The sequence below is a fragment of the Homo sapiens genome, chromosome 7 (assembly GCF_000001405.40).
Source record: "Homo sapiens chromosome 7, GRCh38.p14 Primary Assembly".
Lineage (NCBI taxonomy): Eukaryota > Metazoa > Chordata > Mammalia > Primates > Hominidae > Homo > Homo sapiens.
Window position 1 is genome coordinate 49,840,569 of NC_000007.14, and position 17,638 is coordinate 49,858,206.

Below are 17,638 nucleotides of genomic sequence, written 5' to 3' on the forward strand. Positions count from 1 at the left end.
GTTAGGTTCTCAAATAAATAAGTCTTTGTTAACTCCTCTGATTCTATTTTGTGAGCATAAGGAGTATTGGTTTGATTATTTTTTCTTCCCATATTACTAAGAAAATTGCTTCAGTGCAGCTTCAAAAGCTGTTTGCATAAAAAGCCGATTATTCACTCTTTTATTGTTCATTTTTGTGGATCCGGCATTCAAGAAAACTCTCCAAAATCTCTAGTTAGTTTCCCCGTATTTCAGGTTCGCAGTGAGTCAAGCCACTCATAGTTTGTCCCTCTCCATCCTTTCTCTGACCCCCGAGTCAGAGCTGTTGCCCTGTCTCAAGTTTTCTGCCTCTTGGTGAAAGCTGGTCAACACTATAGTGGGTTAACATGAGTGACTTGATGGGATGCAAAGAACAGACTCAGATGGTGTCAGGAGAAGAGCTAGAAGGAATACCTTTTTCAAGATTGGATGCCACTGCAAGGACAGAAAATTGAAATATTTGGTCTTATTTGGATTCCAGAGGAATGTGGACTGGAATTTTTTTCTGTCTGAATTATGAGACATAATGCATACAAGCGAAGCTGTCTGTTCTGGCCCAGGAGGGATTCCAGAGCAAGTGGCCTTTGTGCTCCAGACTCAAGTAACCAAAGCAAGAAAGAGGCCTGACTATTCCCTGTTTGCAGAGATGAATTCCACTTAGGCTTGTGGCCATGTTTTGAGAGCTAGTATTTGCTGAAACAGCCTAAGATGTTTACACATTACTTTTTTTTTTTTTTTTAAAGTAAGAGAATCAGGAAAAAGCAGTAAACAGAACAGTCAGCTCAAAGTACTGTAGGCAAGCAAAAAGAAACAATTTCATAGTGGAGGAATTAAATGAATTGGTGGAATTTAAGGTAGGGATTCAGTGTTTTAAGTATGGATATAAAATTTTCACTTAAACAGTACTGAGCAAGTCTTTCTTTTGGAAGTTTCATGACTCAGAGCTTAACTGTTATAGTGCATATAACAAATCGCCAGATATAGCAGATTTCCTAAAATGCTTTGGACGTGGAGCTTTTTCCCTCAGACCTTCCGGGAGGACAGAGGTTCTGTGGGACACACTCAGGGAGGCCCTGCAGTAGAAATGTACTTAGCATGGTTTGCATTTCTTCTAATCATTCATCCTACTTGATGCCCTTGTCCACACATTTCTTATAATGTGTAATAATTTTTGCAGACATTTTTCATGGAGTACCATTTTTGTGGGAAATCATGACCAAAGCAATTGTTTATATTATGCTTGATAGAAAATAACTCCTAGGAGGAGAATGTTGTAAATTCAACTCTTTTTTTTTTTAAGATGGAGTTTTGCTCTTATTGCCCAGACTGCAGTGCAATGGCGTGATCTCAGCTCACTGCATCCTCCACCTCCTGGGTTCAAGCGATTCTCCTGTCTCAGCCTCCTGAGTAGCTGGGATTACAGGTGCTCGCCACCACGCCCAGCTAACTTTTTGTATTTTTAGTAGAAACGAGGTTTCACCATGTTGCCCAGGCTGGTCTTGAACTCCTGACCTCAGGTGATCCACCCTCCTCAACCTCCCAAAATGCTGGGATTAGATGTGTGAGCCACCGCGCCTGGCCAATTCAACTCTTTTAAGTGATGTCATTAGTGTTATATAAATACTTGATAAATACATGTTAAATCTTAGTGGATATGCATGAACTAGTAAATGGCTATTGCAGTGCCATAGCTCATGAGAGATGTTATCATTCAGGAAATAAAAAGAAACCTAAAACTATATTATCTGTATACTTTAACTTACTTAAAAGTTACTAAAACGTCATGACATTTTAATTTTATTTTATTTTTAATTGGATGCCTTTAGGTATGATAGTTTACTGAAGTCAGTATAGGGGAGAACCTAAAACCTTAGAGATAATACAGGAGAGTAAATGAGATTAAGAAACTTGTGTTGAGAGTTTCACCATCCAGTGTAACTCAGTGACACAACAGTGAATCCACACCCTTACCTGTAGGATGCTTCCAGAAATCACCCTATAATCATGTGTCAGTGAACTTAGGAATGTTCTTATCAGGAATTGTCTGTATACTTGCAGAATAATTGTCTTTAAAGTTATTGGGAATAAATATGGGAGATAATGCAATAATTTGTGCAAGTCCAATATTAGTGATTTCCCTGGAGATGCTGAAATAGAGGGAAATTTCATAGTATGAATTTGGCCATGTAGCTTTAATACATGTCATCTAGAAGGTGGCCAGATTCTGTAGAAAAGAAGTGTGTTTACTCATGCTTTCACTGCATAGTAAAAGATATCTCATAATATTATTCATCTCCCGTTTCTGTTTTTTTTCCAACTTTTATTTTTAGATTCAGAAGAATACATGTGCAGGTTTGATACCTGGGTGTACTGTGTGATGCTGAGGTTTGGGGTACAAGTGATCTCATAGTGAGCTCATGAACTCTGAGCATAGTACCCAACAGTTTGTTTTTCCCCTTCCCTTTCCCCGAGTCGCTGCATTGCCCTCCTGCTCCAGCAGTCCCCAGTGTCTACTGGTACCATCTTTATGTCTCTAAGTACCCAATGTTTAGCTCCCACTTACAAGTGAGAACATGCAGTTTTCTGTGAACTTCTTGCTTACTGTAACCAATAAGAAGTGGAAAATATGGGAATTCCAATATTCTGCCATACTCATAAAAATCCAAATTCAAATTCTGGTTTAAACTTCATTTTCTCATGGGTGAGCCCCTTTCCTGATGGCTCCAGGAACATAAAGCTCTCAGAAACATCAGATGTGAAAAATCTCCCAAGCGAAGAGGAGACACAGCTCAGTGAGGCCCATGGACGTATTAAGCAAATGTTTTCAGAGATTGTTTATATGTGCCAATTTCTTATTCAAGAAATGAAAGGGTCTACCATTAATGAGTTTGGACAGCAGAGGTCCAGCTTACAAGCACTAATTCACGATAATTTGACTATTTTACTCAAGTAAAAAACAAACACCAAACAAAAAACTAATCATTCAATGAATGATTTTAGTTTTGTATGTACAGAAAGGTTTCCAGTTTGTAATGTCCACAACGTAGGTAAAGATGTCAAAAATGTCCCAGAGGGCTAGAGTCCTGCATGTTGGTTGGGGAGCAGCAACAGCTGAGGTCTATTAGAGACAAGGTCATAGAAGCACTGGGATGAGAAGCGAAGATTTGAAATGTTGCCCCCAGCGCTACAGGGCATTGTGCAAGGACTTAACCTGGGCACTGATGTGATGACAGTTCATCTTAGAAAACGCAATCTGTCAGTTGTGCAGAGGATGAATGGAAAAAAGAAGACCAATGGTAATAATCCCTGATAGATGGAGAGATAGCAGAGCTTTAAAAGATGAAGAAAAGGTGACAGTTAGGACTCATTCTATTACAGGGGCCTATGTGTAAGGGAAGGGAAAAAGTCAATGAAGATTTCTGGGTTTGGCCATGGAATTGGCTGGGTGATGATTCATGAAGGTTGGCAGCACAGGAGGAGACTGAGGGCAGGTTTTGCTGCAGGAGAGGATGGCAACAGGTGGATGAATGTGTGATGTTTCACCTAAGGTGTGTTTGGACCGCAACGTGGAAAGGTCTGCTCAGACGGGAATCGCACACTCAGAGTGGACGTCATGCATGCTAGTAGAGAATATCTCTACATCAATCCTTATGATGACTGGCTGAGTCCCTGAAGGGCGTCGATTCTATCCTCTCAACCTTTAAAGCAATTTAAAACACTGCAGTATTTACATTTGGAAATGTCATTAAGTTACTAAACTTTCCATTTTCACAGTTCTAGGTAAGCCAAGCCAGGTCTGTCAGAACGATCGGCTTTGCCCTGGCAGAGTTAGATAACTATAGATATGAAAGCTTCTAAAATATTGTCCTATAAATACTTCCCTGGGCAATATTTATACTATGTTACTCAATTAATTGTATATCCATTGCTGAATATAAATTTCTGCTTATTAATGGGCCATAAAATTGTAGCAAACAGAAGCCCTAGAAAGGTAATGCAGCATGGAAGATTGTGAGAGCCCTGGTCTTTGATTCAGACTCTGGTTTAGGGTCAATGGATCTGACACGTAGCAGCCACATTACCTTGGGCAAGTCACTTTTTTATTTTTATTTTTATTTTTTTTGAGACGGAGTTTGGCTCTTCTTGCCCAGGCTGGAGTGCAATGGCACGATCTCAGTTCACTGCAACCTCTGCCTCCTGGGTTCAAGCGATTCTCCTGTCTCAGCTTCCTGAGTAGCTGAGATTACAGGTGCCCGCCACTACGTCCAACTAAATTTTTGTATTTTTAGTTTCACCATGTTGGCCAGGCTAGTCTTGAACTCCTGACCCCAGGTGATCTGCCCACCTTGGCCTCCCAAAGTGCTGGAATTACAGGCAGCAGCCACCGCACCCGGCCGGCAATTCACTTTCGTCCTCATTTTTGGGCTTCACTTTTCCTTTTTCAAAAGGAAGTTATTTCCGAATGTTCTCACTTATAAATGGGAGCTGAACGATGAGAACACATGAACACATGGGCGGGAACAACACACACGGGGCCTGTCAGTGGGGGTGGGGGAAGGGAGAGCATCAGGAAGAAGAGCTAATGGAGCCTGGGTTTAATACCTAGGTGATGGGTTGATTGGAGCAGCAAACCACCATGGCACACGTTTACCTATGTAACAAACCTGCATACACTGCACATGTACCCTGGAACTTAAAAGTCGAAGGAAAAAAAAAAGGTGATAGATGATTTAAATATACAATCTCTAGGACTCTATCCATCTGTTAAGCATCTATGGTTTCTATAGAAACTTAGATTTTCACACACAATCTATAATTTCAACAACAATGCTTGTGATTATTACTATCAATATATTAGTGAGATAGCAAACCCTTGACATTTACTAGTTCAACTGTAAAAAACACTGAAATGTAGAATGGTGAAGGAATATATCTGAGAGAGAGAGGCAGGCAAGTTGTCTGTGTGAAATTGGTCAGATGCTAACACAATACAGAATATTTGTGGCCAAGAGGACTTCCTACCCAAAGTCAGTCTTCAAATACAGAAATTCCTAACTTTAAAATACCAACCTTCGGTGATACTTCAGAAGCAAATTATAATTCCTAATAAAAGACCTTGACATTGTAACAAAATTAAACCCAAGAGCACTTCCCAGTACAAAACAGACATCAGAATGACAGGGTAAGTTTCCCCTGTCTCTATGGCCACAGATATAGAACCTTGTGATGTGGGAGTGGCAAACAAACAGCAATGCAGGAAGGAAGAGCGAGTGAGTTAGTGTGAGTGCGTGTGCACACCCACACGTTTCTCATCTTACATATTCATCACTGGAGAGTTTTCACTAATGAGTCTTTGACACCTGCCCCTGTGGATATTTTGTTCTAAATGCTTCCTTGGTACAGTCATGATAAAAGACGGCTCCAGTCCATGGAAGTTATCCATGTTGTCCTGCTTTCCAAAAAGTATTTCAGGCAGCTTCAAAAATAAACATTGCTTTTTTTGGATGATATCACATTGCTTCTTTAGAGATAACTATCCCAAGGATCTAAGCAAGTCAATAGAGCCAACCAGACTTACTAAGATATGAATCCACCCCATTTCCAATACCTTTCCATCACTCCATTTGGTGCAAAGAGTCGCCCCCAAGACTGTTGCTCCAACCTGCATGTCGCCACTTCCTCTGTGGTAAATATGGAAAGAAATTTGATGGACTAAAACAATAACAACAACAAACATAGGTCTTTACCTGCACTTCTGTGATCTGGTCTCTTAACAGCTGTCCACTGTTGCTGCTCCCAGAACTACATGCAGGGCTCCAGCCCTGTGGGACATTTTTGACATCTGCAGAACAACATAAAGTTCTCCCTCACTTCCACGTCTTTGCATATGCCTTTTTCTGTGCTTGGAGTGTCATTTCCAAGCTTCCAAATTTGGCCATGGCCTGACAGTGATGAGCTCAAGGCTTATCACTGTAGAAAGCCTTGTGGGCTAAGACAGATGGCTCTCTCCTTTTCTCCTTATTACACTGTTATTATTATTGCCATACTTATTTCCTGCATGAAACTGTGAGTACCACAGAGACGTTTTCATCACAGTATCCACTGTGCCTAAAGAGCAAAGAGCAGATAATGCTTAACTCCCTGAGCTCCACATTGGTTGAATTAACTCATAATTTCCTGATATAGGAATGCATACATTTTCCCTCCTTTATACATATGTAAATTTCCCCAGCCTCATTTGACAGCCAGAGAAGTAGGTTCCTAATCACTCTGACACCTTGGCAGTTTAGCCTAAATGAGGTAAAATATTATGATACAAATATCTGATTGTTTTTCTTTGAAGGAATAATTAGCAGTTTGACAGATTGCATATGTGAATTATTCAGTGTGAGGCTGTAAATTTCCTACCTGCAGAATTTAACTCTAACTTGCAGTGAGCAGAAGGTCTGTGTCAAATTGGGATGTCTTTGAAAATGTTGGCTTGTTATTTGCAAAGTTTTTAAAAGAATAGCAAGCTGTAGAGAGGGACTTGTGACACGAATAGGTGTATTTTAAAAGGGTCACTGCCAGGATATAAGAATCCCCTGTGGGATGTAATATTAAGACACAAAAATGTGTGAACCTATTATAATATAATATAATATAATATATATAATATAATATAATTAGGTTGTAAATTCCACATCTGACTAGTATCATTTGCGACTATTGACAAGTTACTTATCCTCTTTAATCCTCTATTTCTGAATACTGAAATTGGCATAATAGTGTTATCTGTGCTGTAGAATTGTTGCTGAGAGGGTCAAATAGTGAATGTGTGTGTGTGGCTTGAGCACAGAGCCTTGCAGGGATCCCTGACCATTATTAGTTTAGTGCTATTACTTGTGACCCTCCCAAGGGCAAGGGTTTGAAAATGTGGGTTTTATTATTGGGTATGGTAAGGTCAACAGATCATGAGATGATCATCATTGTTCAAAGAGAGTTGGTTATACTCAGATATCCCAAGAGAAGAGGGTGTTCTATTGAGGAACACACAGGGGCACGCTGGCCTGGGTCAGGAGGCAGAAGAAGCTGAAGTAAAATATGAGCAAAAGCCCTCATGGTGGCTTCCACGGGAAGAAGGGGTGAGGCGGGCTTAGGATTGGCTACTTGGAGTGATTTCAGCAGACTGTGAGCACAGGAACTGCCCCTGTGTCTGGAACCTGGCCCTGATGATCAGAAGAGGTGGACAGTGGCTCTCAGTGTGAAAGCCCGCAGAGGAGGTCATGGGGATGTGAGCTCTGATTGGGTAATCAACAAGAAAAGTGCACTCACAGGTGAGTGGTTTACTATCTCCTGGAATGGGTTAGCACTGGGAGGGGCAGTCCCTCCAACGTCAGCAAGGCTCAATGTCAAAGCATTAGAATGCAGAAAATGAGATAGGGCTAGCACAGCATGTTGCTTCCACAGCAACATGGGTGGGAAGTCGGAAGCTTCTACAGGTCTCAGTCGCTAATTAGATCTGTCTCTGGGAGAAATGTAACAGGAGTCAGCTTTGTGAGTGGGATGCCCTGTCTAACCAGTGGGGGCTGGGGAGGCTGCAAGATAGGGGCCCAACTTTGAGTGACGTATGAGTTTTGCACTTATGCTGCAAGTGTCTTTGGGAGCAGTCTGTGGTGCAGCACTAGCTGTCCAGAGAGTGTCACCCTCCCACCTCCACTCAGAGCCTCCCACGGCAGGGTCTTTCCAGGATCTTCTCTCTCCTGTGGGGTAGCTCCAAATGTCCTGCTCCCCACTGACAAGAGGAAGCAGGCGACGCCCTGCAGTGTGTGAGAGCCGGGCATGGCCCCGGACCAGCTGTGCATCCCAGGACACATGGGATCCTCTGTTTCCAGCCCACCTGCCCAGGGTCGGCTGTGGGCCATAGGAACTGTTGCTCAGTGAGCCCAGAAATGGTGTGTCTCCTGTAGCTGTGGTCTGCTCTCTCGTTTCCTGGTTTATCACCCAGCTCCTCTCTAGCTGCTCTCAGGAGCCATCTTTTCCCTTTCTCCACTTGTAAAATCATGTCAAAAATATGTGCATCTATAAATCATTGACTGTCGTTTCTCACCTCCTCAGACCTTATATGTTCAAAGGCAAACACATTTTTGTGTTTTGTATGAATCATTTCTCTCACAGGTTAATAATATAAGTGGATATTTTGGTAACTGTTCTTTGGCCCTTAAATTATTTTTTATGCCACAATTCAAATACACTTTTATAGTATAGTCAATAAAATGATTACATTGTGTCTAATTCAGTAGACCAGAAAGGAATCTAGACAGAACACACCTCTAATAATATTTTCAGAATTTCCTAGTCTCTGTATCTCTTATATGATAGCACAAAAAGTTATCTAAACTGTGGAAAATGTGTGTTGATTATATCTGCTCAATACAGTAGCCAATTGTCTCTATTTCTCTTTAGGTCCTGCTTGCTTCATGTATGACAAATGTGTTGGTGCGCTTCCCTCGCATTTCTTGTCCTACTGTACTGTATTTCTTATTTCTCAGAGTTTGACTTACATATCCCAGCAGTTCATACCCTACAGTCCCAGGGAAACCCCACTGGATCCCGTGAAGCCTCGGCTGTGGGGGGAAACCAATACAGTCACCATCTCTTTATCACAAAATGCTTTTGTCTTTTATGAATGAATTTCCCCGAGGAGAGAGAGAGAAAGTGCTAGTTTTATTAAATCTGCTCAAAAGTAATTCCTTTGATGAACTGGCTGGGGGCAGCACTGGAAATTAGATGGCTAAGAAGGGAGTTTAGATTTGCTGTGTGTCCTGCCACTGCTCCTGAGGGCTCCAAAAGCAATCAGCTCTGCTGGGAGCAGACTGTCAGGAAGGGTCCTCGCGGGTCTCTGGATGGGGTTTGGATCTCCCTTCTGAAGTGCATCTTTCTGCAGCTAACTGGCATATGCACCCCTACTCCATGCCACATTTCAGCCCTTCTACACACACACACGCTGCCTCTTTTTGTTTCACAAATGTAAATGTTCTAACCAAGACTCAGTGTGAGAACATGCACCATTAGATAGAGTCTAACGCTGGGTGCTTGTTTCACCATTTGGTAGTGCCCTATTTATTTCAGGGAGATTGTGGATGTCAGCAGAAGCCTGAAGAATGGGCAACCAGCCTGTCACTTATTCTGCTCTCTGAGAGTCTGACTTAATAAAAGTGGCTCCTGCTCTAACCAAGTCTTGGGGTAGAATCACTTCTCAGATTCTAACCTGCGAGGCCAGTGAAGCCTCATATAGTGGGACTGAGAGGACCCTGGAGAGACTGAGCACAGTACCATAGCACAGGTACAAAAAAATTCAGTGCAATAGTACAGCATGGTGCACAGGAAGACTAAGCACAGTACCACAGCAGGGTGTGGAGGAAGACTGAGCACAGTGCCACTGCACAGTGCACAGGAAGACTGAGCACAGTATCCTAGCACAGGTGCAGGAAGACTAAGCACAGTACCACAACATGTTGCTGTAGAAAAACCAAGCCTAGCACATAGCATGGTGCTGCAGGAAAACAGAGCACAGTGCTGTAACGCAGTATTCAGGAAGACTGAGCATAGTACCACAACACAGTGGTCAGATAGGGTCTGTCATCAATGAAGGTTTGACTGTAGTAACCTGTCCACTTCATGCCACACACCAGGGACCTAGAATTACATCATCACCTAGGAATTTGCCCTTTATTTTAAGTCACATTGTTTAACACACCTGCCATCTGCCAGTTCCATTGGTGAGTCCAAGATGAACAAAACTGGCCAGTGCCATGACATAGCTTCACATCCAGTGTAAGAGGCCTCCTGTCTTCCTGTGGCATCCTTATAAGCCAAGTATTCCTGGAACTATGGAAGGAGTGGTAGCTTAGGCACAAGGAGATGGACAGGGGCTCTGCAGGAGGTCCTGAAAGAGGAGAGGAGCATTAGCTCACAGGTGCATGCATGAACTCACAAGATGTCCACACACAGCAGCCTCATCAGTTTTTAGTAGGCCAGACCATGTCTAATTTCATATTACCTAAAGGATCAACTGTTTGTGATTAGGAGATGTAATGCCATCTTCTGGAAAAAAGCCAGTGTCAGACAACTTGTGTTCATGTATTGGTCTCCAATATCTCACCTGTGTGACTTTCCCCAAATTACTTCACCCTGCATAACTCTCAGTTACATCATGGGTACAGTGAGCTCCGTGTATTTACTCAGCAAGCATGTACTGCCATTACATTTGGTCAGGCACTGTGCTGGCCATAGTGGACACCGCACCTCAGGATGACTCCCTGTGGAGAAGGCTGTGTGAAGTGATTGTGGCACCAGGCTCCATTAGCTCCCTGGGGCTGCCACAGCAAATCCCACAACCTGAGAACCTGAGTGGCTTTAAGGAATGTCAGTTTACTCGTCCGCAATTCTGCAGGCCAGAAGTCTAAAGTAGATCAAGGTCCCACAGAGTCAGTTTCTTCTGGAGGTTCCGACGGCTGCTCCCTTACATGCCTCTCTCCTGGCTCCTAGTGGCTGCCCGCCACCCTGGGCTTCCTGGGTTTTAGAGGCTTCACTGCAGGCTCTGCCTCCGTCTTGATGTGGTCTTCTTCTCTGTGCCCGTGTCTTCTCCTTTTCTTATAATGACACTTGTCATTGGATTTAGGGCCACTTGGGTAATCCAGGATGATCTCATCTCCAGACCCTTCTTAATTACATTTGCAAAAACCCTTTTCCAAATAAGGCCTCATTCATGGGTTCTCAGTGGACAGACATTCTGGGAGCCACCATTCAACTCACTCTGGTGCTAAACACCAGAGCCTGGCTCATAGCAGACGGGCACTTAAGGATGTCTGCCCACAGGAAAGGGGACACTTGCTTAGCGCAATGTTATATTGAAAGTGCTCCAGCAGATCTGACAGTGCCACATCACAGTGTGTGAGTGAACAGAGTCCAGGCTCTGGGACCAACTCTGAAATAAAAAGTCTGCTACAGGCCAGGCGTGGTGGCTCATGCCTATAATCCCAGCACTTCGGGAGGCCGAGGCGGGTGGATCATGAGGTCAGGAGATCGAGACCACCCTGGCCAACATGGTGAAACCCTGTCTCTACTAAAAATACAAAACTTAGCTGGGCGTGCTGGCACACGCCTATAATCCCAGCTACTTGGGAGGCTGAGTAAGGAGAATCGCTTGAACCCAGGAGGCAGAGTTTGCAGAGCCGAGCTTGCGCCATTGCACTCCAGCCTGGGAGACAGAGCAAGACTCTGTCTAAAAAAAAAAAAAAGTCCACTACAAAATGGCCAGACCCCACAGAGCATTCACACCCACAACACTGGATCTCTAAAGTTCAGTGGGCTCTTTCCCACTCCCGTTCTAAGGACTGCTAGGCAGTGAAGATGGCATCCTCATCCCCTGTAGATCACTGCTGTCAGCCTAGGGTCCGGATTTAATCCGGATTAAACCAATAACTGTATTGAGCAGTCAGGATGCTGGGAGCCCGACAGAGGCCAGCAGGCACCAGTACCACCTGTGTCTGCTTTCTGGAGAGTCGGTCATCAGGCCAGAGCTGGTCTCTCTGCCCTGTGGCCACTGCCTTATCTCAGACCCTTACTAACATGGCCTGCATCAAAAGTCCAGCCTCAAAAGCTCTTCCTTTTCCAGGTGAGTGACCCTGGAGCATCAGGGGGTCATGGTGGCTCTGTGGCTGTGCTCTTCAAGGACCAAGGACATGCATGCAGATGACATTGCAGGCTCTGGTTCAAAGAAGAGGCCTGGCAGGCATGAGCTGGTGGTTGTCCTGGCCTGTTCACTCATCTCCTTAACAAGGTGACCGGTGCTGTTTTGCACTTGCTAGAAATCTGATTTGTGCATGGCCTAGCCCTTTAGGGAGATAATTTCTTTCCATCTTTAAACTAACCTTTATACTTCTTAAAATTGGGGGGGCAGAAGGGCCGAAGATCATACCTGGGGATAATGCTATTTAGTGGTTTTTCCTGTTTCTGTGGCTTTTTGAGAAGTGATGTTTGTGAGGAGTGAGGGGTGGGTGCAAGGTGATGTCTCACCTCCCCTCTTCAGAAAGAGCCCTACCACCTTGGTGTGACGGATGGGGGACGGGCCTTGCTCCTACAGATCAAAATCTGCGGGATTTAAGTGATCGTCTTAATCAACTTCTTCCAAACCCTGGTTCCTCCCTCTGCTCTCAAACTCCCAGATGTGAGGAACATTTGGCCATGACTTGGACTCCGTCTCCATCTAGTGACTGGCTCCTTGAACTACAGTTGCAGATGGAAACTGGCTTCTGTAAAGCCAGGGCACTCTGTGGACTTGGGTAACTACAAGAATGAGTGTGGAGAAGTTAGGCCTCCAAACAAATCCAGTCCTTTATCACCACAGTTCTACTCCAGTCCAGAGCCCTTTCCTCTTCCTCACCCCACACATTAAAAACAACAGCTGCACCAAGGACAGAAGCGGAGGCCACAGGAAGGCAGCATGCCCAGCTCTTGCTGCAGGCTGAAGGCAGGCTCCCAGGCTATGGGGCAGGGCTGCGGGCTCTGAACAGGAGCAGTCACTGGGGTGGACTTGGTTTTGTTCTGGATCCCAGTTTGAAGGTGAGGCCTCTCGTGGTCAGGCTCTTGCTGCCGTGTGGAGTGGGCATGTTCTGCATGGCAGACCCTATCAGGTATGACTGTAGTCTCCCTTAGGAACCTGTGGCCGGCCCCCAGCACTTGCCCATGGGGGCACACCCCTGTCCCTCCCCAGGCCCAGGAAGTCATGCCTGAAGTCTGGACTGGTCTTTGGCCTCAGGAGATGCTGGCAGCCAGCCTATCTGTTCTGTGCCAGGAGCTCTGCTGGGCATCGGGGCATATTAGGGACCCAAACCCCATCTCTGCCCTCCAGTGTCTTACAGTTCAAAAGACAGAGTGGAATAAGATAGGTCCTAAGTTTTTGGTTTTTTTTTTCTTTATCACGGTAGACTATAAACCCTATAATGAGATTAAATGAAAGAATTTACATAAAGTATGTTTACGAACATACTTTACGTAACATAAAGTATGTTTATGAACGTTTGTTTTTCTTCTTGTCATTTATTATTGCATCCTTTTTCTTTAGGAGCATTAAAAACATTTAATTTTTTATTTTTTTATTATACTTTAAGTTCTAGGGTACATGTGCACAACGTGCAGGTTTGTTACATATGTATACGTGTGCCATGTTGGTGTGCTGCACCCATTAACTGGTCATTTACATTAGGTATATCTCCTAATGCTATCCCTCCCCCCTCCCCCCACCCCACAACAGGCCCCGGTGTGTGATGTTCCCCTTCCTGTGTCCAAATGTTTTCATTGTTCAATTCCCACCTATGAGTGAGAACATGCGGTGTTTGGTTTTCTGTCCCTGCGATAGTTTGCTGAGAATGATGGTTTCCAGCTTCATCCATGTCCCTGCAAAGGACATGAACTCATCCTTTTTTATGGCTGCATAGTATTCCATGGTGTATATGTGCCACATTTTCTTAATCCAGTCTATCATTGATGGACATTTGGGTTGGTTCCAAGTCTTTGCTATTGTGAATAGTGCCGCAATAAGCATACATGTGCACGTGTCTTTATAGCAGCATGATTTATAATCCTTTGGATATATACCCAGTAATGGGATGGCTGGGTCAAATGGTATTTCTAGTTTGAGATCCTTGAGGAATTGCCACACTCTTCCACAATGGTTGAACTAGTTTACAGTCCCACCAACAATGTAAACGTGTTCCTATTTCCCCACATCCTCTCCAGCACCTGTTGTTTCCTGACTTTTTAATGATCGCTATTCTAACTGGTGTGAGATGGTATCTCATTGTGGTTTTGATTTGCATTTCTCTGATGGCCAGTGATGATGAGCATTTTTTCATGTGTCTGTTGGCTGCATAAATGTCTTCTTTTGAGAAGTGTCTGTTCATATCCTTTGCCCACTTTTTGATGGGGTTGTTAGTTTTTGTCTTGTAAATTTGTTTGAGTTCTTTGCAGATTCTGGATATTAGCCCTTTGTCAGATAAGTAGATTGCAAAATTTTTCTCCCATTCTGTAGGTTGCCTGTTCACTCTGATGGTAGTTTCTTTTGCTGTGCAGAAGCTCTTTAGTTTAATTAGATCCCATTTGTCAATTTTAGCTTTTGTTGCTGTTGCTTTTGGTGTTTTAGACATGAAGTCCTCAACATGAGCCACACATTTTACTAAATGCTCTAGATAAATTGGTGCACTTGTCACAACACCTGGAAGGGATGGCTGTTATCAACCATATTTTTAGATTAGAACTATGAAGCTCAAAAAGGTTAAGTAACTTGCCCAATGCCATGCACCCTGGTCCAGGGTAGAGGGGCTGACAAATATGGCTTTTGTCATAAGAGTAGTGCCAAGCTTCCTGAAAATGCAAACTGAAGCATTAGCCTGCCTCTTTGAGAGGGATGAGGAGTTCTCGGCTTCTATATTTGAAAATCGAAAAATAAATATTTTCCTTGGTACAGCTGTGAAGATAGAAATAAATGAGATTGTGTATGTGAAAGGCCTGCTCACATTAGTCTTAATAGTTAATGCAATTATCATATTTCTTAGTTCCCAAAAGGCAAATCTTTCTTTTTCTCATGTCTCTGAAAATGGGATATGTTTTACAATAAATGGTTGAGGAAAACACTGGGTCATAGTTTATGGACGGTGTAGTCTCTTTCTTAGTGAAGTTTCATGATCTTCCTTATGATCACTGACAGCTTTGATTCAGTTCAGTACCAGGTTGCCTGGCATTAGGTGGTATATTTACATGACAGGGACCTTGTCAGCATCTCTGGGTGGGAGTTTAACATCCAGAGAGCAGGCTTTCAGGACTCTCAGCAGGGAGGAGGAAGGTTTGGGTATTTCCCAGGTGAAAGAGGACAGATGTTGTGGAGAGAGGTAAGGAAGGCTCAGCGAGGACAGGTTCCAGGGACAGAGAGGAGGAAGAGACCTGCCAAGCATTAGGTAGGTAGCGTCCCTTTAAGTCAGGACAGGTTTCTTGATCTGTGCTGCAGGAGAATGTGGCAGTTCTCCAAAATAATTTCTGGGGGCCTTGTGGTGGCAGATGGTGAATAGTGTGAATCAGGCAAAAACGAGTCCCCTGAGGGGCCAGTTCAGTGCTTGGCCTCCAGGGTCCCTGCCTCCCCAGAAGCCAGCCCAGCCCTCCCAGCTGCCCTCACCAGCCAGGGGCCGGTGGCTGACGGTGCACGTTAATTCCCAGAGCACCTGGCTCCCCTGCTGATTCCCAGGGATTTGGTGAGAGGGACAGAGTGAAGTGGGGAAGAGAAGGAAGAAAACTGATGTTTCTTTCAGATCCACTGAGAGACACTAAGCCCCACAGTTTGCTGCTGTGAGAAAGGGTTTCCTTCAGTTATTTCTGCAACCTGATTGAGAAATGCTTAACCCTGCTTAGTTCAGGTATATAAGGCTGCCTTTCAGGGCTGATGTTCCCTTCTGTCCCCGGAAACACCACCCTACTGGGAGGCAATGCATAAGACCATACACGTAAAGACAGGTGATAAGGTTAGGATGTGTGTCCAAACTGGGAATCTCATGTTGAAATGTGATCCCTAATGTTGGAGATGGGGCCTAGTGGGAGGTGTTTGAGTCATGAGGGTGGATTCTGCATGAATGGCTTGGTGCTCTCCCCTTGGTAATGAGTGGGTTCTCAATCTATTATCTCAAGTGAAATCTGGTTGTTTAGAGAGTCTGGCACCTCCCTTTTCTCTCTTGCTCCCTCTTTCAACGTGATATACTGGCTCCCTCTTCTCCTTCTGCCATGATTATGAGTTCCTGAGGTTCACCAGAAAAAGATGTTGGCCCCATGCTTCTTGTACAGGCTGCAGATCATGAGCCAAATATACTTCTTTTCTTTAAAAATTACCCTTTATAACAACACAAAATGGACGAATACAGCAGGATTTCCTTTTCCCCCACCAGCTTTATTGAAGTATAATTGGTATATAAAAAACTTCACACAATTAGTGTTTACAATTTGGTGAGTTTGGACATAAGTATACCCTCATGTTACCATCACCACAGTCCAGGTAATTAATATATCCATCACCTCCAAAAGTTCTCTGATGTCCTTTTGGTTTTGTTTTGTTCTGTTTGTTTTGTGCTGTTATGGTAAGAACACGTAACATGATTGGGAGGCCGAGGTGGGCGGATCACGAGGTCAGGAGATCGAGACCATCCTGGCTAACACGGTGAAACCCCATCTCTACTAAAAATACAAAAAATTAGCTGGGCGTGGTGGCGGGCGCCTGTAGTCCCAGCTACTCGGGAGGCTGAGGCAGGAGAATGGTGTGAACCTGGGGAGGTGGAGCTTTCAGTGAGCTGAGATCGGGCCACTGCACTCCAACCTGGGTGACAGAGCCAGATACTGTCTCAAAAAAAAAAAAAAAAAAAAAAAAAAAAAAAAGACGTAACATGATATCTACCTTCTTAACAAATTTTTAGGTGCACAATATCATATTGTTAACTATGGGCATGATATCGTGCAGCAGATCTCTAGAACTTATCTTGCATAACTGAAACTTTATACCCATTCAACAACTTTCTACTTACCCCTACCCCCAACCCCTGGCAACCACCATTCTGGTTCAGCTCTGGTTCTACGAGTTTAGCTCCTCTAGCGACTTTATATAAATGGAATCATGCAGTATTTCTTCTTCTGTGACTGGCTTTTTCCACTAAGCATAATGTCCTCAAGGTTCCTCTGTGTTGTCACAAATGGCAGGATTTCCTTCTTTTTTAAGCCTGAATATTCCAATGTAGGCATATAGCACATTTTCTTCATTCATCCATCTGTCCAGGGGCACTTGAGTTGTTTCCATATCTTAGGTATTGTGAATAGTGCTGCAATTAACATGGGAGTGTAGATATCTTCAAAGAAGACATACAGATGGCCGACAGGTAGAAGAAAAAGTGCTCAACATTGCTAATCATCAGGGAAATGCAAATTAAAACCTCCGTGAGACATTACCTCACAACTGTCAAAATGGCTATTAACAAAAATCAAAAGAGAACAAGTATTGGTGAGGATATGGGGAAATTAGAACCCTTGTGACTCTTGGTGGGAATGCAAAATGGTGTAGTCCTTGTCAAAAACAGTATGGAGATTTCTCAACAAGTTAAAAACAGAGCCATCATACAATTCTACAGTCTCACTTCTGGGTATAAATCCATAAAAAGTGAATCAGAGCTTCAATTTCTTTACCTTCTTTGCCTATGATTTTCAATCCTGGGTCTGAAAGTGGTGGTGAGGGCATCTGAGCTAAGTTTGGTGTTTCCACAGGTCTACTGATGCTGATACATCAGAGATGAGACCACACAGGCTTTCCCAGAACATCAGATTTCTTTTTCTTAGGCTTATAGAGTTCCCCTGTAACCTCGTGTCAATGAAAGCTATACATGGTATTTCTAGTTCTAGATCCCTGAGGAATCACCACACTGACTTCCACAATGGTTGAACTAGTTTACAGTCCCACCAACAGTGTAAAAGTGTTCCTATTTCTCCACATCCTCTCCAGCACCTGTTGCTTCCTGGCTTTTTAATGATTGCCATTCTAACTGGTTTACTGGGT

The 17,638-nt window shown here is 43.7% G+C and overlaps 2 protein-coding genes across 7 annotated transcripts in view, besides 1 other annotated feature; one reads left to right on the forward strand and one right to left on the reverse strand.

The window, feature by feature from the left end:
• The window catches only part of VWC2 (von Willebrand factor C domain containing 2), a 148,568-nt gene that overhangs the window by 66,931 nt on the left and 63,999 nt on the right, over nt 1–17,638 (forward strand). The window lies entirely within an intron of this gene.
• The window catches only part of ZPBP (zona pellucida binding protein), a 252,593-nt gene continuing 235,040 nt past the window's right edge, over nt 86–17,638 (reverse strand). Inside the window, exons 9-10 of one of the 2 annotated variants that reach the window (XR_001744543.2) lie at nt 9,758–9,946; nt 86–5,860 (exon numbers count right to left, since the gene is read on the reverse strand). Coding sequence is in view for 1 of the 2 variants with exons in the window: in XM_011515097.2 (XP_011513399.1) it covers nt 9,908–9,946 (39 nt within the window). In the remaining variant the exon portion in view is untranslated. Of the gene's footprint in view, nt 5,861–9,753; nt 9,947–17,638 lie in introns of those variants that run through there. The other variant, XM_011515097.2, reaches the window with a different exon arrangement.
• Nucleotides 10,365–10,659: a silencer, noted in NCBI's record as "tiled region #9573; K562 Repressive non-DNase unmatched - State 13:Ctcf". NCBI's record gives its function as "represses a minimal TATA promoter and a strong SV40 promoter by Sharpr-MPRA in K562 cells {active_cell/tissue: K562}" and the evidence as "EXISTENCE:reporter gene assay evidence [ECO:0000049][PMID:27701403]".